This window comes from Homo sapiens, chromosome 17 (genome assembly GCF_000001405.40).
Source record: "Homo sapiens chromosome 17, GRCh38.p14 Primary Assembly".
NCBI lineage: Eukaryota > Metazoa > Chordata > Mammalia > Primates > Hominidae > Homo > Homo sapiens.
The window spans coordinates 49,585,682-49,607,704 of record NC_000017.11 but is presented as its reverse complement, the minus strand read 5'-3'; the positions used below and the strand labels follow the sequence as shown (position 1 = coordinate 49,607,704).

The window sequence follows — 22,023 nt, the reverse complement described above, 5'->3', positions numbered from 1 at the left end:
TAAAGCAGATTGACTTATTAAATGAGGCTGATCATCCACACAGTTTTGGGTGAGGGTATTTAGACATATATGTTTTTACTCAGAAAACTGAGGAAAAGAAAGGTGAAAAAATCGAAGAGTTGTTTTGCTGTTATGTTTAAGAAAACAAAGATGGAACATGTGATGGACGAAAAGGCTATTATAATCAAGCCGGGCAAAGAAATTTTCCATTAATGTTAGGTTTTAAATGATACAAAGTTCTCTCCTCACTAGAGCTTAAAATCATGAAAATAGTTTAGTTTAGGGATTTTGTTCTGTTGGAATGTTTCTCATATTCAGTTTTTCTGGCATAGAATCGAGTTGAAATCAATGATGTGGAGCCTGAAGTTTTTAAGGAAATGATGTGCTTCATTTACACGGGGAAGGCTCCAAACCTCGACAAAATGGCTGATGATTTGCTGGCAGCTGCTGACAAGGTAAGATAAGAATAGAAAAATAATCAGGACTAGGAGTTATTGTGACTTCTTGTGTTTCATGAACAGGATTCTATGTTGCATTGTGGGTAAAATGAGCATATATCTTGGTTTGGCCAAGACGGTCCTGGTTTACACATATTATTCCAACACAATTATTAATAGCACACTTTTTATTCTCAAAAGTGTCCTGTTTTGAATAGTAAACTATATGATCACCTAACTATGGGAAAGAAGGATAAGTTTGACTTCTACCTCTCCTCTTTTTTCCATCTCAAATTTAACCACAGTGATAGTAAAGATTCAAATAATACTAACATTTGGATTGTGCTTTATAATTTACAAAATGTTTTTGAGTTTATTAATGTATTTAAACTTTATCAGTAAAACAGCCCTTTGTATCCATGTGGACTCAACCAATCTCAGATCACAAATATTTGAGAAAAAAGAAACAAGAGGCCAGGCACAGTGGCTCATGCCTGTAATCCCAGCACTTATCGGAGGCCGAGGCAGGTGGATCACCTGAGCTCAGGAGTTTGAGACCAGCCTGGGCAACGTGGCGAAACCCCATCTCTACTAAAAAATACAAGAATTAGCTAGGCATGATGGTGCACACTTGTAGTCCCAGCTACTCAGGAGGCTGAGGCAAGAGGATCGCTTGAACCCAGGAGGCAGAGTTTGCAGTGAGCTGAGATCGTGCCACTCCAGCCTGGGCAACAGAGCAAGACTCTGTCTCCAAAAAAAAAAAAAAAAAAAAGAAAAAAGAAACAAGAAAAAACAGGCTGGGCACAGTGGTGCTGGGTGTGCAGTGCCTCCAGCCTATAATCCCAGCACTTGGGGAGGCCAAGGAGGAAGGATCGCTTGAGCCCAGGAGTTCAAGGCCAGCCTGGGCAACATAGACTCCATCCCTACAAAAATAAAAATAAAAAAATTTAGCCAAGTGTGATGGTGCACGCCCATAGTCCCAGCTACTTGAGAAGCTGAGGTGGGAGGATCACTTGAGCCCAGGAGGTTGAGGCCACAGTGAGCCATGATTGCACCATTGCATTCCAGCCTGGGTGACAGAACGAGACCTTGTTTCAAAAAAATAAATTAAAAAAATACAAATAAAAAACCAAAATAGTATAACAACTATTTACATAGCATTTATATTGTATTAATTAGTATAGATAATATAGGGCTAATTTAAAGTATACAGGAGGATATACATAAAGATACAGGGAAATACTGCCTATTTATTTGTTTGTTTATTTTTTTTTTTTTGAGAAGGGAGTCTTGCTTTTGTCACCCAGGCTGGAGTGCAATGGCACGATCTCGGCTCACTGCAACCTCCACCTCCCAGGTTCAAGTGATTCTCCTGCCTCAGCCTCCTGAATAGCTGGGATTACAGGCGCCCGCCACCATCCCTGGCTAATTTTTGTATTTTAAGTAGAGATGGGGTTTCGCCATGTTGGTCAGGCTGGTCTCAAACTCCTGACCTCAAGTGATCCGCCCACCTCTGCCTCCCAAAGTGCTGGGATTACAGGTGTGAGCCACTGCACCTGGTCTATTTATTTACTTTTTGAGACAGAGTCTCATTCTGTTGCCCAGGCTGGAGTGCAGTGGCACAATCTCGGCTCACTGCAACCTCCGCCTCCCAGGTTCAAGCAGTTCTCCTGCCTCAGCCTCCCGAGTAGCTGAGATTACAGGCATGCACCACCACACCCAGCTAATTGTTGTATATGTAGTAGAGACAGGGTTTCACCATGTTGGCCAGGCTGCTCTCGAACTCCTGACCTCAAGTGGTCCGCCCACCTCAGCCTCCCAAAGTGCTGAAATTATGGGTGTGAGCCACCATGGCTGGCCAATACTGTCAATTTATATAAGTGACTTGAGCATTCACAGATTTTGGTATTTGCGGGGCCCTGGACCCAGTCCCCCAAGGATAGTGAGGCATGGCCGTAATCTTTTACCTAGTGTCCTGGTTAGCATTTTCAACTTTTACCTTAGTAGTTATTGAAATAAACAGTATTTCTTCAAAATTATGAGAGAATTAATAGCTTAATAGTAGAATAAATTGTACTTCATGACACATTTCAATTTGAGAAGTGTTCAAGTGTGGAAATAAAAATGCAGATCTTAGAATCAAAGACATATGATGATTACCTAAAATAATTCGGTCAGTGATTCCCAAAATAAGGTGAAATATCAACAGATATTAGGTTGGTGGGAAAGTCTTATGAAAAATACTGAGTTTAACCAAGACAAATAGTTGCTATCTTACTGCAGGATTTCTCAGAACATGTAGCATATTAATGTTACTGTGAATTTTCTAACAGGAATTATGATAGACAGCATTTCTCCAATTTAGTTAACCCTGGAATCCTTTTTCTCAAGGATCACCTGCAAGATTAGTGGTCCCCAAAACGCACATTGGGAAACGGACTTTCATTGTTTAGGTACATCAGAGAGAGAACTCAATGGTCTGCCCTTCTAGGCCCTGCGGTCTGTGGAAACATGACCTGTGGGGAAGGGTGAAAGAATTGGTGTTTACCCTGTGGGAGCTTTTCCTGTGTTGGCGGACAAGTAGAGTTGGCGTGAGGATGGGAGAAGGGCGTAGATCCTGCCAGCAGTAGACCCTGTGAGAAAGAGGGTTATCTGCCAAAAGCACCTCCTTTTCCTGCTGTGATGCTGCAATACCCATTGGAGGGAAAAGTGGGCTCTGGTCTAAGGACACAAGAGCCTTCCAGGGTTTGCTCATGGGATAGTCTCCTACCTCCCTTTGTGCCTGAGGACAGAGGAAAGTGCCTGTGTTTATAGTGGAGGTTTTATCTTTATTGATCAGCTTTTGGAGTGTATGTGGAGGATGGGGCAGGTAAATGCCATCAGTGCTCCTGATGAAGAAGATTGGAATAATAACCGTATCTTTCTTGTCACTTTTCAAGACTTTATGAGTACAATGAAGCAATGTGAAAATTCCATACCCTTCCAGTCTACCTCAATTCTGACCAGGGGAAACTTGCTTTTAATGGAGACAGTAAGAAAATATTCACTGCAAGCTCTGGGAAAGTAGAAGACACAATCCAATAACTGCCTTTTATAAAGTTAATTATGATTCTGCCTGATCTGTGCTCTGATTTTTAAGGAAGTGGTCACTTGTACTTATACACATCATGTGTTTATCCTCTCATCTTCTAGATTCCATAAGGATAAGTATTGCAAGGCCCACTTTTTAGACAGAAATACTAAGGCTCAGAGTTGTATATCCGCAGAGCCAAGATTAAACTTCTGCCATGTCCCTTAGTTTTCATTCTTGCTCCCTAGCCAGAAAACCTACTGGTAACCTACTGTAAGTACACAGGGCATGGTGATCAGCCTGAACTGCCATTTCAAGGATAGCATTTCAGCACAATGTGTTAACTTGTGGTTTTAAAAGATAAAGCTGTTGAATCACGGCAGTGCTTTAAATTTATGAATGAGAAGTAATTGAAGGGTGTATTTTCAAATTCCATTCAGAATTTCCAACTAGACAGTTTTTGCTTCAAGCCTATTTGAAAACGTTTTTACCTTTACACCTCTTCGTGAGTTTTAGGAAAACAGAATAAGAAATCTTTCATGGAATGATCTAAACATCTAGAATTTACCCAAGAGGCTGAAACAGCTTCTCTTAAGCTTTTCCAGTCTCCTGGGGACATGTGTAATTAGACCAAAAACAACAAAACTCGTTGGGCTAGGCCTGGGAGACACAATTTCCATCTCTTGGGTAAGTACTGCCATTAGGCAGGTTTTTCAGAAGCATAATTAAGAAAAAACTTTGTCCCCAAGGGACAAGAATGGCTACTTTTGTCTAATTATGCAATAGGGATCAGAGCTATTCACAGTAAAAGTCCTTTTAAAAGAATGTATTGAGAAAGGATAAGAGGAATCGTCTGGGCAGCACTGTATAAAAAACTGAACATTTCAGCCTTTTAAAACAAAAACGGCAACTTCATTTCTTGCTTATCTAATGTTATTCCTGTTTTCCATGGAAACTGTTTTCCAGTTACTCAAATGTAAAAAATTAAAGCTGCACCAAAACCAATAAAACCTCTCTTTTTTGCTGCAGGAGATCACAGTGCCAGCAGATATGCCTCCTCACCCAGAATTCATAACAATTAAATTGTCCTGATTTGATTGCCATGATTCACCCTGAAGGGGCATTGTGTCATTGAGTTCTGGGGCCTTCAAGCTGGGGCCTATAAGGAGACTGTGCATAGCCTCAAAGCAAACTGTTTTCCTGTGAACTGATCAATGACATTTTATTTTGTGCCTCCTTGTATTTCCTTCCTCTTTCCTATCCCTCAAGTTCCTAGTAAGTTCATAATCTCATATTAGAGAACAAGTGGTAGAGCTGTATCTGAACCAATCAAGTAGATCAGATGTGCCCAGCATTAACCTAGGCTTTCCATTTCAAGAACATTTATGCCCTTTTCTTAGAAAATACAAGTTTTTAAACTGAAGTTTTTAAACTGAAACTGCATTTAGGCTCTCTGCCACTTTGTCCTTTTACCCTGAGAAGCTTAACCTCAACCCCAGTAAAATAAGACTCTATTTATCCTTCTCTATTTAAAAGGAGGCCTTTAGTTGACCCTCATTCAGAAACAACTAGTGGCAGAGGTGTTGGTAAAAGTCACCACAGGGCTCCTTTTCACAACCTGATGGGCCAGTTGGGATATCTTGCTGGGCTAGTGACAGTGCTTAAGTCAAAAGGACTGTGCTTCACCCTCTTCTGGCTCTAAGGGGATTGCAGTAAATAAGGGATTTCACAGGGTAGACACCAATTCTTTCACCCTTCCCCACAGATCATGTTTCCACAGACCGCAGGGCCTAGAAGGGCAGACCATTGAGTTGCCCTGTTGACGTGAAGCAGACTGATGCCTCACTGTAATTGTAAGTGGTGAAGGTTTAAGAACAACTTTCATCACAGTCAGGAGGAGAGTAAACTTCAGGATGCAGATCTACCCTGTAATTGCCATTTTTCTAATAGGTAGACTTTAGAACTCTAATGGCAGCTTTCCAAGTTACTTTAGCTGTTTACATTTCAAGCTTAAACATCTAACCTTCAGAAATGGTTATGTTTTATCATTGCAGTAGTAGCTTTTCATGGTCTGTGCAGTTCTATTCAAGTATCTAGTTAATATGATGGTACAGCTAAAGAAAACAGCTTCAGTAGTGGTCAGCCCAGAACTATTGCTGCTCTGATGACAGCAGTGCTTGTGTTTTACAGTATGCCCTGGAGCGCTTAAAGGTCATGTGTGAGGATGCCCTCTGCAGTAACCTGTCCGTGGAGAACGCTGCAGAAATTCTCATCCTGGCCGACCTCCACAGTGCAGATCAGTTGAAAACTCAGGCAGTGGATTTCATCAACTAGTGAGTTGGCATCTTCAAAGTTCTTCTTTCAAAATAGTTGGATAGCTGAAGAAATGAGAAAGGCTTTGAATTAGTGGGTAAAGCAGGCAAGTAGCTTCATTAACCTTTTGGCAGTAAGAATAGAGTTTTCATCTTTTCCTTCAGTTGACCGTATGGAATTGACTTCATGGGTTGAATCCTATTGGTGAGTAAAGTGTTTTACTTCCTCATAGTGAATCGAAGTGATGAAAATAACTTGCTGGCCTGAAAAAGCTGTATGCCCCAAATGATAGTATCTTTACTTCACACTGAGTGACTTAATAAAAGACATGTAGATTTCTAGGAGGATAGACATATGTTTATGAGTTAGTAAAATGTACCTCATGTTTGGTTGTAGAATAAGGAAAAAAGAAGGGATCATCAGTAGCTGGTTTCACTGTTTTGAGAAAGAAATGTTCATTCCACTAGGTCTGTTCCTTCATCTTAAGTGACAAATGACCTGGAAATACTACTTTCTGAAATAATAATATGGAATAATAATAATATGAAATAATAAGAATAATAATATGAAAGATGAGTTGTAACTACAACCCATCTTCTCAGTGGGACATGTTCTACTCCCTTGCCCCATGGAGAGAGCAAAAGCTGGAAAAAACCCAAAGAAGAAAAGCCCTCACAACAGCAGTTCTGGGGCAGGACAGGTCTGAGACATTCCAGGTGGATGAGTGAACAATATTCAACATAGAAAATTCCCAAAGACAGGAAATAACATCCTCTAGGTCTAGTTGTAGAATTATTTTCTAAGGAGTGATCAAGTGAGGCAGAAGAGGGAGGGGAGAGACCCATCAGTGTGAGTTCCTTTGAGTGCTTACTGTGTGCTGGACACTTGCTTGGTGCTTTTGAGATATTAACCATTGAATGAAGTATGGTTATCCTCCCCTCTTTTTTGATAATCAAGTAGGCCCCAGGCTCTGATCTGCCCTGTGGTTAAAGGCTGGTGAGTGGCAAAGCCAGGCAGAAGCTCAGGGCTTCTGGCCGAGGGAGCCCATGCTCCTTTTTATGACTAGCATCACCGGTGAATATAAGGAACATAGGCAGTGTTGGGGGCCTGGGGAACATTCTGCTTTTTGTTTTTGAGAATATAGTGGCTCAAAGTCTTGGTTTTCAGATGACGACAGCCACAGGCAAGTCACCAGTCTGCTCATTGTCTAACAAGCAAATTCTTATGCATATTAAGGGTTCTTCTGTTTCTTGCATTGACACCCTTTATACCTAACAGTGGAAAATTAGGCTATCTAGGTGGCTGTTGAATTCATCCCTTGCTCACTCCCTTTGGTAACCCATTTCTCCACATTTCTCCTAGTCATGCTTCGGATGTCTTGGAGACCTCTGGGTGGAAGTCAATGGTGGTGTCACATCCCCACTTGGTGGCTGAGGCATACCGCTCTCTGGCTTCAGCACAGTGCCCTTTTCTGGGACCCCCACGCAAACGCCTGAAGCAATCCTAAGATCCTGCTTGTTGTAAGACTCCGTTTAATTTCCAGAAGCAGCAGCCACTGTTGCTGCCACTGACCACCAGGTAGACAGCGCAATCTGTGGAGCTTTTACTCTGTTGTGAGGGGAAGAGACTGCATTGTGGCCCCAGACTTTTAAAACAGCACTAAATAACTTGGGGGAAACGGGGGGAGGGAAAATGAAATGAAAACCCTGTTGCTGCGTCACTGTGTTCCCTTTGGCCTGGCTGAGTTTGATACTGTGGGGATTCAGTTTAGGCGCTGGCCCGAGGATATCCCAGCGGTGGTACTTCGGAGACACCTGTCTGCATCTGACTGAGCAGAACAAATCGTCAGGTGCCTGGAGCAAAAAGGAAAAAAAAAAAAGAAAGGACATTGAGTTTTAACAGAAGGGAAAAGGAAAGAAGAAAAGATTTTTGCAGAATTTCTCAAAAATCAGTTTGTGGATTCCAGTAGTATTTATATTGAGAGAAACAAATTTTAGTCCTTCTAACTGTGCTAAAACTTGGATATTTGTGAAAACTCCTTACCACCATACAAGCATCAGAAGAGCTCTCTTGTTGTTAGCACTTATTGTTTGCAAGAACAGAATACATCCTTTTATCCTTTTATGAAAAATGACAAGTGAAGGCAAAAGGGGAAGGTTATTTGATCTGGAAGATGAGTGTTCTGATGTGGTGGCTTTTGCAAAAATCTTTATTGGTGTTGAAAACTGGAAAAAATAACTCATCCAGAATTCATATTGTCTTGACAAGAACTATGGTTCTCTGTTTTTAGATATTGTGGAAAATGTTTTTGGGCATTTTTCTCTGATTTTATTTCTTCTCCCCCACCCCTTTTTCTAAAAAACAAACAAAAAAAAAAACACACAAAACAAAAACAGAACAAAAGAAGAGAGAAGGAAATTTTATCAATTAAAAATGCTGTGTGATAAAATCCCAGCCCAGATTGCTCAGCTGTTTGTACCTGACTTGCCGCCTGCATAGGAGCCAGTTCTGTTCCTTCTGACTAGCCCCTCTTCCTCCAGGGGAGAACTTCCAAATGTTAATTTTTTTTTTTTTGAAAATATAAATAATTACTATTTTGTACTGTGTGGTATCTCTGGTCTTTTGTTTCACTCACCTGCCTTGTCTCTTGGGTCTGAGTCCCTTGCTTAAGGGATTTTGAAGTCCTAGTTTTCAGCTTGCAGAGATTATGTCTGAAATGCCTAATGAGTCGCAGGGATTTGTTGAGACTCCGTAATCTCAAGTTCTCTTTGTGAGCTATCAGCATCTGCCAGTCTCTTGTCCTCCCTGAGTATCTCACAGTCCATATCCTGATGAGGGATCAGGCCCCTACCTCTGCCAAGGCAAGTAATGGTAGTGGGCTTTTAAACTGCCCCCCGTATGTTTTAAGACCTAATCCCCACCTCCCTTCTTCTAACTAAATATAAAAAGATCCAGGGGACATAAATGTGGAGATTAAATAAAGGGAAATTATTGTCTCTAACTGGTTCTGTCATTGACTTGATGTGTTTCCAGAAAAGCTAATACTGGAGCTCACAAGAATGTTCTGGGGCTCCCTGTCTGCCTTTTTTGTGGCTCTGTTAGGACAGTGGGATATATTGAAGAATGCATCAGCTATTTGGCCAGCCTGTGTATTTTTTACCTTTGATGGAACCTCAACCTATTTCTCCTTCTATTTCCCTTCAGTGGACCTTAGACTTTGTACATTTTCCGACTTTTCATTTATCTTACTGCCTCTAGAATGGATAAATATGATCTGTTACTAACATAATCAAAGGCAGGATTAGTTTATTGGAAACCACTCCATTGCAATTCCCGGTTTCCCCTGGGAAGCGTCCCCTGTGTGAGGAAGTACCCAGTTCTGCATGTGCTGGCTGCTGGCTGCTGGCTGCTGTCCTGTGCCTCCTCCATCCTAGCTTTCCAGATCAGCACACAAGTCCAAGAATCCGGGCGAACTCAAAGTCTCCTCTACCCATATCGTCTTAGGTTTTTCCAGCTAAATTTATATACAGTATTTCATCTGAACTTCCCAACAACTTGACGAACTTGGTGGGACAGGTGAGATATGGCATCTTCCCACTGTGTAGATGAGGGAAGCAGAAACCCAGAGAAGGGACATGCCTCAGATCATACAACTATTGAATGCCAGATCTTCTAATGGAGTATCCTGAAGATTACGTAATTAACTGGAGGAAGTTCCATTTCTGAAATGTTTAGGTACAAAACTGAAAGTAAAGCTTCCTTCCTGTGGGAATAGCAAGAACAAAGCTCTGGAAAGGTGCCTCTGCTGGCCTGTTCTTCAGAGGTTCCAGAAGGACAAACCAGGCTTCAGATTTGCTTTCCTCTTCATTCACAGACAGCTGTGGGTTGGGATGCTGGTGAGTTCAGGGACTATGCCCTCAGGAGGACAGCAGTCCTGGCACCTAGCTTCTGTCAGGATGAAGGTCTCTTCTGGGATCTTCAATATTTATGGAATTTCCAACTTGGGCTTTACTGTGGGTACAAAGCTGTTGGGATTTCAGGTACAGGTAAAGCTACTGGATGCTTCTGTCATTATTTCATTCTTTCTGGACATGTTTGTTTTTGTTTTAAATGATACAGTTGAAGCCATCTGGTTATGACAACATCAGAGCCCCAGCATACTGTTCATAAACCTCCCACTGCCACCACCCCCCTCCCTTAGCTCCCCCACATCTGAAATTTAATTCAAGTTAACTCCACAATCTGGGGCATGAGCTGTCACTGCAGAGATGTCCGTGCCAGTGAAGCAGTTGGAGATTTCAATTCCACGAGGATATGGCTTATTTATCAAAACAGTATTTCGGGCAAGTAGTTTCGCAGAACCATTGGAGTTGCAGTTTCAGTTCCACATAGAATATCTGGCATCATCCCCATCTCCCCTTCCCCTGTGTTGTCAGCTTACCCCATATATCCGACCACCTATGGAAAATTTTCCCCATTCCCTATGTAAAGATTAAAGCTCTTTGCATTGTTACTAGGCATCTCAAACACCTTTGTGGGTTTTAACAATTTGGGTAAGAGATGCTCCTCTTTTCTTTTTCACTGTTAAAGCCTTTTAGGTCTTGAAGAGCTTTCTCTTGTATTTTTTTTAATTCCAGCCAGGCACATTGAGATCTTTCTTAGGCCGGAAGATCCCTGGCTTGACCACAGCTCTGCACATTCATCTTTAAATCTGGTGTAAATCTATTGTGGGATCTCCATATTGTATGAGCCTGTGCAGATGAAAGGAAACAGCTTGTATGTTTATGAGCAGAACAACAAACAGAGGGGGAGTTGAGCTGCACTTTGAAACTGACTGTTGCTTTGTTCTTGCTCTTCAACTCCTATAAAAGAACAACTAAATCCCCCCAAAATGACTGTATCAAAGCCTTTGGTTTATCTTTGTCAAAGACAAATTCTGGGCTGGAGCCCAACCTTATTTTCCACAACTAATTATCTTTTTAATCAGCCTGAGCCCTGTATGTTTCCTTTATCTCTTGACTTGTCACTGAACTCTGCCCTACATCATTTAGATTCATTTCTAATGGCTTGCTGACTAATCTAACATTCAGGTGAGTATCGTTGGGCTGCTCTTTATGTACGTGTATGCACAAGGTGAATGCGTTTTCCTTCTTTTAATTTCAGAGGTGACCGCGCCATGTTGGGGCCTTTGACCCAATAGATGGACACCTCATGGAGACAGTGAGCAGGAAAGCAAATGTAGGATGATCAGTATTTGGGATAATGAGTTGGGAGAACCAGAAGCTTTGACCTCCGGATGAGAACAGGAACTTGAATGTTGTTGACTGATGGGATCTTTATGCTGCTGAGCCATTAGCAAGATGATCCCTCCCCCTCTGTAAATCCTATAGTTGCTGGAGTAGAAAGTGGCATCTGGAATACTGTTTGGTCTTGATTTCTGCAGCTCTAGGAAAAAAAGAATTTTAGACTTGAGGGAATTCAGTGCAAGCAACTGAAATGATTAAGGAGTTGAAGGGGATCAACTCCAGGGGAGAAATGTTACGAAGATAAAATATGTGTAACTCTAGTTTGGGGATGTAGCTCCAATACCTGCAGTTTACAGATCTCACAGGAGTTCTAAACATTTGCCAGCTTGTCTTGCACAGCTCCCATTCATTCCAATTGTATAGCTTGGGAAGATAGCTACGTAACTTCCTCAAGGTCACTCAGCCTGACTCTGAGCCAAGAAACAACAGGAGGCAAAGGGAAAGCTTTGGAGCTTAGACCCAAGGACCAAAGAGAAGGTGAAAATCCAGGAGTTTGCCTGGTAGTAAAAGTGGACACATCCACTTATAACGCTCACTTGAAATAGGGAGAGTTGGCTGGGTGCGATGGCTTATGCCTGTAACTAGCACTTTGGGAGGCCGAGGTGGGCGGATCACAAGGTCAGGAGTTTGAGACCAGCCTGCCTAGCATGGTGAAACCCCATCTCTACTAAAAATACAAAAATTAGCTGGGCATGGTGGCATGTGCCTGTAGTCCCAGCTACTCAGGAGGCTAAGGCAGGAGAATCTCTTGAACCCAGGAGGCGGAGGTTGCAGTGAGCCGAGATCACGCCACTGCAGTCCAGCCTGGGTGACAGAGCGAGACTCCATCTCAAAAAAAAAAAAAAAAAAAAAGGCGAGCAGGGGGAGAGTTTTAGCCCTTGCAAGACCCTTAAAGGTGAGTCTCGACAAACTGAAGGAGAAAAAAGAAGGGGTCCCACATGATTCACCTTCTTTTCATGTCTAAGAAAACAGACATCCATGGAAGTGAGGTGGCATGCCCAAGGTCACAGAGATTACATTTCCAGCCACTGAGCAAACAATTGCTGAGCATCTAGGAGGCCCCAGACACTGTGCTAGGCTAAGCCTAGTATGGAAGGTAGGATTTCTGTTCTATTAACTCAGTCTAATGGAGGAGGCAGAAATAAACCAGAGAGCCCGTAGAACTGAGGACTAAAAAGAAGCCATTGAATTTAGCAGTAAGGAGGTCAAGGGTTACCTTCGAGCAGTTTCAGTCAAATGGTGGAGGCAGGAGCCAAGCCTGACAAGGAGGTGAGAAAACATAGATTGAGAATAAGCTCCTCTTTCCAGAAGTTTGAAAGGGAGAGAGGAAGGGGATCTCTCCTACTCTTCAGGATTTGTATCTCAATCTAGTCAACACATTTGTTTTTGTCTAGAAGTAATGGTGTACAGGTTGTCCTATAAACGATGGACACTTTAGTAAGTGGTATTTGTTATGAAAGCCATGTTGTAGAACAACTGTAGCTTTAAGTTGAGAAGAAATTGCCTTCAACCCTTACACAATTTTGAGAAGGATTTCTTAAAGACATGTTTTTATACTTTTTTTTTTTTTCTTTTTTTGAGACGGAGTTTCACTCTTGTTGCCCAGGCTGGATTGCAATGGCGCGATCTCGGTTCACCACAACCTCTGCCTCCTGGGTTCAAGCAATTCTCCTGCCTCAGGCTCCCGAGTAGCTGAGATTACAGGCATGCGCCACCATGCCTGGCTAATTTTGTGTTTTTAGTAGAGACTGGGTTTCTCCATTTTGGTCAGGCTGGTCTTGAACTCCCGACCTCAGGTGATCCGCCTGCCTCAGCCTCCCAAAGTGCTGGGATTACAGGCATGAGCTACCACGCCCAGCTGACATGTTTCTTTACTTTTTAACCTATTCATCTTCCAAGTAAACATTTGCTTCAGACCTTCAAATGTTTTCATGGGCCAGTGGTTTGGTTCTTGGTGTGCTATAAAGGTACACCATTCAGTTCCCAGACATGGAAGCCCGGCTGGCAGCATTGCCAGTTCCCACGGTGTAAACACTGCCACCATGGCTGATTCTGGATCACTAAAATGACATCACTGAAGCAGAGTTGGGAAGAGCAGCACAGCCCACCATAGCTGAGCATGGATAGTAGTAAAATGTAAAATAATTAGAAAGAAATAAGTCTTGGGTACTTATTACCTTTACTAATTGTATGTTAGTATAATTGAATTTTTAATAATGGCTGTTTAGCAACCAGCTCTCAAATTCCTGAAAATTTAATGATTATCTCTAGAGATCCAGTGTGAACCAGCTCCAGCACACCACTGGACATTTGTGTGCCTCATCTCCTGTTACCCATAGCATTTTTTAAAATTATTATTATTATTATTATTTTAGACAGAGTCTCGCTGTGTCACCAGGCCGGAGTGCAGTGGCACGATCGTGGCTCACTTCGGACTTCTCCCAGGTTCAAGCGATTCTCCTGCCTCAGCCTCCCCAGTAGCTGGACTACAGGTGTGCGCCACCACACCCGGCTAATTTTTATGTTTTTGGTAGAGACGGGGTTTCGCCATGTTGGCCAGACTCTTCTCCAACTCCTGACCTCAAGTGATCCACCCGCCTTGGCCTTCCCAAGTGCTGGGATTACAGATGTGAGCCACCATGCCTGGCCACCCATAGCATTTTAAAAATGCATTTATGGACTGGGCGCAGTGACTCATGCCTGTAATCCCAGCACTTGGGGAGGCTGAGGCAGGAGGATTGCTTGAGCTCAGGAGTTCAAGGCCAGCCTAGGGAACATAATGAAACCTTGTCTCTACAAAAAAAAAAAAAATTTAAATTAGCTGGGCACAGTGGCATATGCTTGTAGTCCCAGCTACTTGGGAGGCTGAAGTGGGAGGATCGCTTGAGCCGAGGAGTTTGAGGTTGCAGTGAGCCATGAGCACCACTGCGCTCCAGCCTGGGTGACAGAGTGAGACCCTGTCTCAGGAAACAAAAATAATACATTTATGTAGTTTAAAAGCAAAATGAAATACTGCCTTTTCAGAAATCGAAAGATACATTGACACTGATACCTGTTGTATTATATATTTTACTCTCTGGTTAAATTAACACATTTTAAAATTTCTATATCTTATCAGTATTGGAAGTGTGTAATTTTTTTTTTTTTTTTTGATTCAGAGTCTCACACTGTCACCCAGGCTGGAGTGCAGTGGCGTGATTTCAGCTCATCGCAACTTCTGCCTGCTGGGTTTGAGCAATTCTCCTGCCTCAGCCTCCTGAGTAGCTGAGACTACAGGCATGCACCACCATGCCTGGCTAATTTTTTGTATTTTTAGTAGACCTGGGGTTTCACCATGCTGGCCAGGCTGGTCTCGAACTCCTGACCTCATGATCTGCCCGCCTCAGCCTCCCAAAGTGCTGGGATTACAGGCGTGAGCCACCGCACCCAGCCAGAAGTGTGTATTTTATTGAAACACTAATGAAAAGTAGACATTGTGACTGACATGTTATCCAACATAATCTTCAGTGATTCCATGGAGTTTTCTCCGTAGTTGCATCCTTTCTGCCCCATTATCTCTGAACAACAGTTTTTCATTTTAAAAGAAGAAAAGGGCATTTGAGAGTGGTCAGCACGCCTGCCAACAGGTGATCCCGAGGGTCTTCTCCCACCAATATTTAAGAATCTCTGCCTTGGTTTGGCCAAGAGTTTTTACAGCTCTTTTTGTTTTCTTTGCTAATAGTTCATTTATACATTCCATTTACTATGTGCCAAGGACTGTTCTAGTTTCTAGGGATACAACAGTGAGTAAAACTAACTGCTCCCTGTAGTCATTGGAGTCTAATGGGACGAGATTATCCTTAATAATCCCACAAATAATGTCAAAGCATGGTAAGCACCCTGAAGGAAATGTGTAGGGTACTGTGAGATCCTCTGCGTGGAACTATCTTGTCTGGGGAATCCAGAAAGGCCTTTCTAAGAAATCAGCTCTTGAAGTGAGAACTGAAGGATGAGGAGCTGTCAGCTTGGTACTTGGGAAGGCACATTCCACACACAGAAATTGCATTCATAAAACCCTGAGGCAGGAGGGAGCTTAGTGTGTTGTTCCAGGAGCCTAGGGCAGGCCAGGTGGCTAGAGTGTGGAGAGGTGTGAGAGCAAGTTGGAAGCCGTGGCAGAACCTTCGTAGGTCACATTAGGATTTAGATACTTAAACTAGAGCGATGGGAAAGCCATGGAGGAGCTTTAGGCAGCAGGGGATGACAAGATCTGCATTTTAATAAGATCTCTGGCTAGAGTATGGAAAAATTAGCATTGGGGTTGGGGGTGGAAGAAGGGAAGAGATGACAGAACTTGAAGTAGGAAGGTGGCGCAGCTGGAGAAGAGTACATCTATATGAGAGGGATTTTAGGAAGCAAATTTGGCAGAACTTGATGAATTGGACAGAGTAAGGATGAAGAGGTTTCCGGCTTGTGTGAATAGATGGATTCACCGAAGTGAGACCAATGGGAAGATAAACAGGCTTGAGGGCAATCAGGTCATTGATTTTATTTTACTTGTTGACTATGAGATGCCTTGAGAAATCCAAATGGAGGTATCACATGGGCTGTTGAGTTGATAAGCCTAGAGCTCAGAAGAGAGGTTGGGACTGGAGAGATGGTTCTGGGAGATATAGTTTTAGGGGTGCCATTGAAATCCTGGGGTGTTAGATCACTGAGGAGGAGTGTAGAGTGAGGAGAAAGGGGGCCCAGGACTGAACTTTATGGAATTCTTATACTTAAAGCCTAGTACAGGAAGATACGCCACAAAGGAGAAGTGGCCAGAGATCTATATGAAGGAAATACAAAGTTAAGTGAACCAGATTTAAAAGAATTTTTTAAAAAACTGTTGAATAAGAGAGTAAAAGATGCCCACTGGAGTTAACAACATGGAAGTCATTGGTGACCTTAGCCAATGCCGTTTCAGGGAAGGGACCCTGATGGGGGAAGGTGAGGAACTGGAGACAGGCAAGCCTTTGAAGCATGGCTGTGAAGGGAAGGACAAAGGACAATAATTGGAGGAGGAAAAAGCGTTGAGGGGAGTGTTTTGGTTTTGTCTGTAGAATGAAGGAGACGTAACATGTTTAAAGCTGATGGGAAAGATCCAGTAGAGAGGAAGCAGTCGAAACTCCAGGATCCGGTACAGCGGGGACAGTCTATGCCTTCAGGTTCTAAGAGTGCTGGAGAAGGAACAGATAAGTGGGCTTAGGCAGGGATGAATCCTCTCTCTAGATGTGAGGAGAGTCCTGCAGAAATAAGTGGGTTTGTCTGATACTGGGAGGTTGAGCAAGTTTGTCGTATGTTTTTCAGATTTAAGTGGAAATAAGGTCAGTGGCTGAGAACTGGGAAAGGGTGGGGTTTGGAGACATGATCTGAACTAGCTGTTGAAGAAGAGCTGGTAAGAGTGCAGGCTGCACCAAGGGCCCAGCCGCGGCAGGTGTTTGGAGAGCACACACCTGGAGTCTAGGAGTCTGGCTTCCATCTCCTGCCACCACTCGTGATCCTGGCCTTAGTTTCCTCATCTGTAAAATGGGTATATCTCATAGACTTCTTGTGGGGAATTAATGAAAATATACATGTCACATCTTCATCATGGTGCCTAGCATTGAATAAAGGCCTCAGAAAGGTAAACTGCTACTAAGATTATAGCTATTGCTATATTATTGTTTCTGAACTAAGCCATATATGGCCTTCTGAGACCAGTTCCTGTAAGGATTTCTTAGATTGGAATAAAAATCTGTAATGAGACACTAAAATGGGCACCTTTGGGAGTGTGGGAATCTTCTGAGTAGGATTCACTCTGGAAAAAGCATCCTGAGTAGACGAGCTGGCCTGGCGTCCTGCAAGTTTCCAGGTATCTTACCTGTTGTGATATGGAAGAGGGAGAGTCCGCAGAGGTCCCAGGAAAGAGCCTGTGTCAAATCTTTCACTCACCTGGAAATCACTCTTTCCTTCTTCATTTATGATCATCACTGTCATCATTGTTACAGTCTCCAAAAGTTAGGAGATTAGGCATTCCAGAGAGGAAGCTCAGAGGCATGGCAGAGGCAGTTTGGCTTGTAGGTATGAAAATAAGAGTTGGGGGCTGGGCACGGTGGCTCTTGCCTGTAATCCCAGCACTTTGGGAGGCCAGGGTGGGCGGATCACCTGAGGTCGGGAGTTCACGACCAGCCTGACCAACATGGTGAAACCCCGTCTCTACTAAAAATACAAAATTAGCCGGGCGTGGTGGCGCGTGCCTGTAATCCCAGCTACTGGGGAGGCTGAGGCAGGAGAATCGCTTGAACCCGGGAGGTGGAAGTTGCAGTGAGCCAAGATTGCACCATTGCACTCCAGCCTGTGCAATAAGAGCGAAACTCCGTCTCAAAAAAATAAGATAAGAGTTGGGGCTGGGCATGGTGGCGCAAGCCTGTGGTCCTAGCTACTCTGGAGGCTAAGTCGAGCGGATCCCTTGTCCAGGAGTTTGAGACTAGATTGGGAAACATAGTGAGACCCTGTCTCTAAAAAAATTTTTTTAATAAAAAAAAACAAAAAACACAAGGGTTGAGGAGAGGAAGGCACTTGGGACCCAGGAGTCCTGTGTCTTGGGCTGTTGCTGCCTTCTGAGTGGCTGGGGAAAGATGGATGCAAACCTGCTAAATCGAGCCCATCTTCCCTACACTATCTTATTTAGCTTCTCTTCTTTTTTCTTTTTTTGCCCCCATTCTTCTCTTCTGGAACATAGAAGCTTCCATTTATTTCTCCCCTATTTTCGTAGACATTTATCTCCCCATCTCTAGTCCTGCTCACTAGAGTGACATCTTGAGCCTGATCCTGCCACATTTAGAGAAAAAACAAAACCTGCCTACAATGAGCCCTCCAGTTCTGATCTCTGCTGAGATGTGGCAGATGGCAGAGCCTGACTGAGTGGCAGCAGGCCCCCTCCTCTCCCAGGCCTGGGAGCTGCCAAGACTGGGAAATGGGGGCATTATATACCTTTCCACACTCATGCCCCGTCTACCCTCTATTTACCCAAGCCAGCGTGGCATGGCAGAATGTAGCTGCCTCCTCACCTCTGTCTTTTCCCTTCTCTTTCTCCCTGTCCCTGTGAAAGATTCCCACAATAGAAACTGTATTGAGTTCATCTGTGAGTCAACCAGATTTACTAGCCAGGCCCTGTGTGTACCCGAGGCACTTGGCCCTTCTCAAAGTATGGAAGGAAAGGGTCACAAAAGGCCCTGTCCTCAGGGGACTCACTATGTGGCAGAACAGACATGGTCCTCACCCTCAAGGATACAGTCCAAGACAGGGACATGTTTCACACACGCATTCACAGGGGGTACCAGCAAGGGATCATGGGGCCATCCAAGCCTAGAGAAACTGATCTGCCAGGCGAAGGTGATGAGGCTGGGTGAGGAGAGAGGGAGGGCACTGGGTTATCGGTACATGGTTGGGGGACAGGGCACTGGGGCCAGGACTCAGGGCAAGGTAAGGCAGGAGGGTCCCCTTGCCTGGAGAGTGTGCCTGTTGGACAGCTCTCTGGGTCCCTAAATAAAAATCCTTTAGTTGCCTGCATTCTCTGAGCCTCGTTTGTTTACAGGTAGAGGTCCAGAGGGTGGTACACAGATGAAACCACTCAGTGCACTGGAAGGGCTGGTGCTTGCACAAGTGAGATGCTGGGCCAAGGAACAGAGGGAATGCAACCGAGTGCCCCATTTTTGGGCCAGAATCAAGGAAAACAAAAGTAGATTCCTTTTTATGTGTCATCTTTTGTAGACATGACAGACTTCTGACCTTCCCTAGTTTTTTTCCTGCACATTCTTCCTAACCCAGTGACTTCTTCCCATTATGCCAGGCTTCCTCGCCCCAGATCCCCTTCATGGCTTGGCAAAGAAAGCCCTACTCGGTCCTAGGGAGCCTGGACTCCCCTCACTTTGGGGTGAAGGCAAAGCTGTGCCCAGCTAGGATATGCAGCAAGGAATGATAGAGCCCATGGCCACTCTTCTCCCTACCTCCCACCCAGGCTTGGCAGGAGCAGGACAGGCATCATGAGCTGTCATTGGGCCGCTGGTCTTGAGCACCGCCCCTGTGCCAAACACAGCTCCAACTCACAACAGCCCTCTGCGAGGAGCAAGCATCCCCACTTTACAGATGCGGAAATTGAAATGCAAAGATGATCAGTAACTTGCCCAAGGTCTACAGTTACGAGGTGGCAGGGCACGAATTTGAATCCACGCAACCTGGCTTCAGAATCTGTGCACTCAGCTGTTGTGCCACATAGCCTGCCCTGAAAAGAAAGAGAAACCCAGCCCTCTCCCCATTCCTGTGGATGCCTGTGAGCACTAGCGGCTGGGGCCGACAGTGATGTGGGGCTCACCATCCACTGGGCCAGTTTGGCCCTCACAGGGACCATGTGAGCAGGTGGGGGAAGAATTGCCATCCAAGGCCCAGAGAGGCAAGGTGGGTAGATGATCACATGCCAATGAAGACTCAGACACAGCTGTCTTCAAACATATCCCAGCTTGGCACACCTTTGCCTTCACCCCAAAGTGAGGGGAGTCCAGGCTCCCTAGGACCAAGTAGGGCTTTCTTTGCCAAGCCATGAAGGGGATCTGGGGCGAGGAAGCCTGGCATAATGGGAAAAAGTCACTTGGTTAGGAGCCAGAAGCCTTGGCTCTCTTCTGACTAAGAGATTCAGGGTGAGACCTGCCCCTCACTGCGCCCCAGGAGCCAACCTGGGTCTCTGAAAGCCTTTCTAGAGAAGACAACATACAATATCAGGGACAGGTGAGAGGAGGGGTGTGTCAGCACTGGCTGGCATGCCACCATCCTTTCCCACTTTCACCCTTCCTGCCACACCTGCTCTTCCGGCCAGGAGGACCTGGGAATTTGGGGTGCCTACCGTGCAGCAGTCTGTCTTCCTGTTGCCACTTCCTCTCCCACATTAGTGGGCTGAGGCTGTGATCATGCATCAGCAGCAGGCCAGTGAGGCACAGCAGGGATGACCTCTCATGCAGAGTTGGATGAGCCGCAGCACCTGCATGCAGGTAGCTTATCAGCCGCACCTCTGTAGGGAGTGCCACTCTGCCTCTGGCGAGTTTTTTTTTTTGTTTTTTTGTTTTTTTTTTTGAGACAGAATCTTGCTCTGTTGCCCAGGCTGGAGTACAGTGGTGTGATCTCGGCTCACTGCGACCTCCGCCTCCCGGGTTCAAGCGATTCTCCTGCCTCAGCCTCCCGAGTAGCTGGGACTATAGTCACTCACCACGATGCCCAGCTAATTTTTGTATTTTTTGTAGAGGTGGGGTTTCACCATATTGGCCAGGCTGGTCTCGAACTCCTGACCTTGTGATCTGCCCGCCTCGGCCTCCCAAAGTGCTGGGATTATAGGCGTGAGCCACCGCACCCGGCCTCTGGTGAGTCTTGAGGGGCACACAGCCCCTGCCCTTAGGGAGTCTCTGGTCCGAAGGGGAAGGCCACTCCTGTTCCCCGTCTCTAGTCTAGAGGGGACATCCACATTTCCTGCTCAGAGAGTCTGCAGGTTGGCACTGCAGACACTACTTCAGACAACCTGAGTCCAGGGGTAGCAACAGGCTTTTCAGAGGCTGTGAATGGTAGGGACAGCAGGGGAAGTGAGATGAGGGTAACTGAAGCAGGATTCTGGAGGAGAGAGGAAGAGGATGGGTGGGTGGGAGCACAGAGGGCTTGGTACTGGAGGGCTTGTTCAATAAAGCATGTAGATAGCCTCCTTGGCTTTAGCTTTGGAAGAATCTTTGAGGTGTGGAATGGTGTGGAATGGTGGGGCCTGGTGGTTTTAGCTCTTCCCTCTTGAGTTTCTCCTTCCTTTTGGGATTTGTTGGTTCAATTCCAGCTGCTGATATCACACTGACTCCAGTAGAACATTTCTCTTGCTTTAAGACTATGGCTCAGGTGTGAATCAAAGCCGTTTCACCTGGATCTCCTGGGCCAGGGAAGACCAGCCGGAACTTTCAGAGGCTTTGTTAATTAAGCAATTGTTGAAGGACTCAGTACTAAGGGAGAACTGAGGGCGTATTAACACATGATATCCCCCAAACAGCCCAGCTTACAGGTCTGGGTTTCTGAGTCTGCCTTTGCCAAGGCCTAGCAGGCTCTGGCCTGGGCTGGGCTCCTTCTTTCTGCCTCTATCAGGAGAAGCCAGTTGAGGCTCAAGACCACGAGAAGAGACCAGGTGTGGTGGCTCACGCCTGTAATCCCAACACTTTGAGAGGCTGAGGTGGGCGGATCACCTGAGGTCAGGAGTTCACGACCAGCCTGGCCAACATGGTAAAACCCTATCTCTACTGAAAATACAAAAATGAGCCAGGCATGGTGGTTCACACCTGTAATCCCAGCTACTTGGGAGGCTGACGCATGAGAATTGCTTGAACCCAGGAGATGGAGATTTCATTAAGCCAAGATCATGCCACTGCACTCCAGCCTGGGCGACAGACAGAGTGAGACTCTGTTTTGAAAAAAAAAAACCACCACCAACAAAAAAAATGAGCAGTCCTTATAAGTCCCCAAGAAACCATGTGGCCCCTCTGCAGCCCACTCAGGTTACTCCCTTTCATCGCCCCTCCCCAAGTAGATGACATCTTGAAGAAAGACCCTGTTCACAAGGGCACGAATTTCCTTTGGTGGTTGCAGAGGTAACTGCTGCTTCTTAAGCCAGCCCATTCAGGAGAAATTAGAGCCATGCCTGCTCCTACCCGGAGTGTCCTGCAGGGGCAGGGTCTTGGGAGTGCTCAGACCTGACCAGAACAGGCTGTACTGGTCTCAGTGTCAGCACAAAACCAGCACTGACAGCTTCAGGCCAAGAGCCTGGTACTCTGCTCCCAAGGGCCTGGTTCATGCACTCCCCTGCTTGGCTGTACCCTATAAACCA

At 45.0% G+C, this 22,023-nt stretch overlaps 1 protein-coding gene across 10 annotated transcripts in view, besides 1 other annotated feature; it reads left to right on the top strand.

The window, feature by feature from the left end:
* SPOP (speckle type BTB/POZ protein) overlaps positions 1–8,821 on the top strand; it is a 79,280-nt gene extending 70,459 nt beyond the window's left edge. For all 10 annotated transcript variants that reach the window (NM_001007229.1, NM_001007227.1, NM_001007230.1 and 7 more), the window contains 3 exons: positions 333–455; positions 5,698–5,840; positions 7,183–8,821. In NM_001007229.1, the coding sequence (NP_001007230.1) occupies positions 333–455; positions 5,698–5,840; positions 7,183–7,327 (411 nt within the window). In that variant the 3' untranslated portion in view covers positions 7,328–8,821. The remainder of the gene's footprint in view (positions 1–332; positions 456–5,697; positions 5,841–7,182) is intronic.
* Positions 1,110–1,307: a silencer, noted in NCBI's record as "fragment chr17:47683760-47683957 (GRCh37/hg19 assembly coordinates)". NCBI's record gives its function as "represses an EF-1alpha promoter that drives an FKBP-Casp9 reporter gene in an ReSE screen in K562 erythroleukemia cells {active_cell/tissue: K562}" and the evidence as "EXISTENCE:reporter gene assay evidence [ECO:0000049][PMID:32094911]".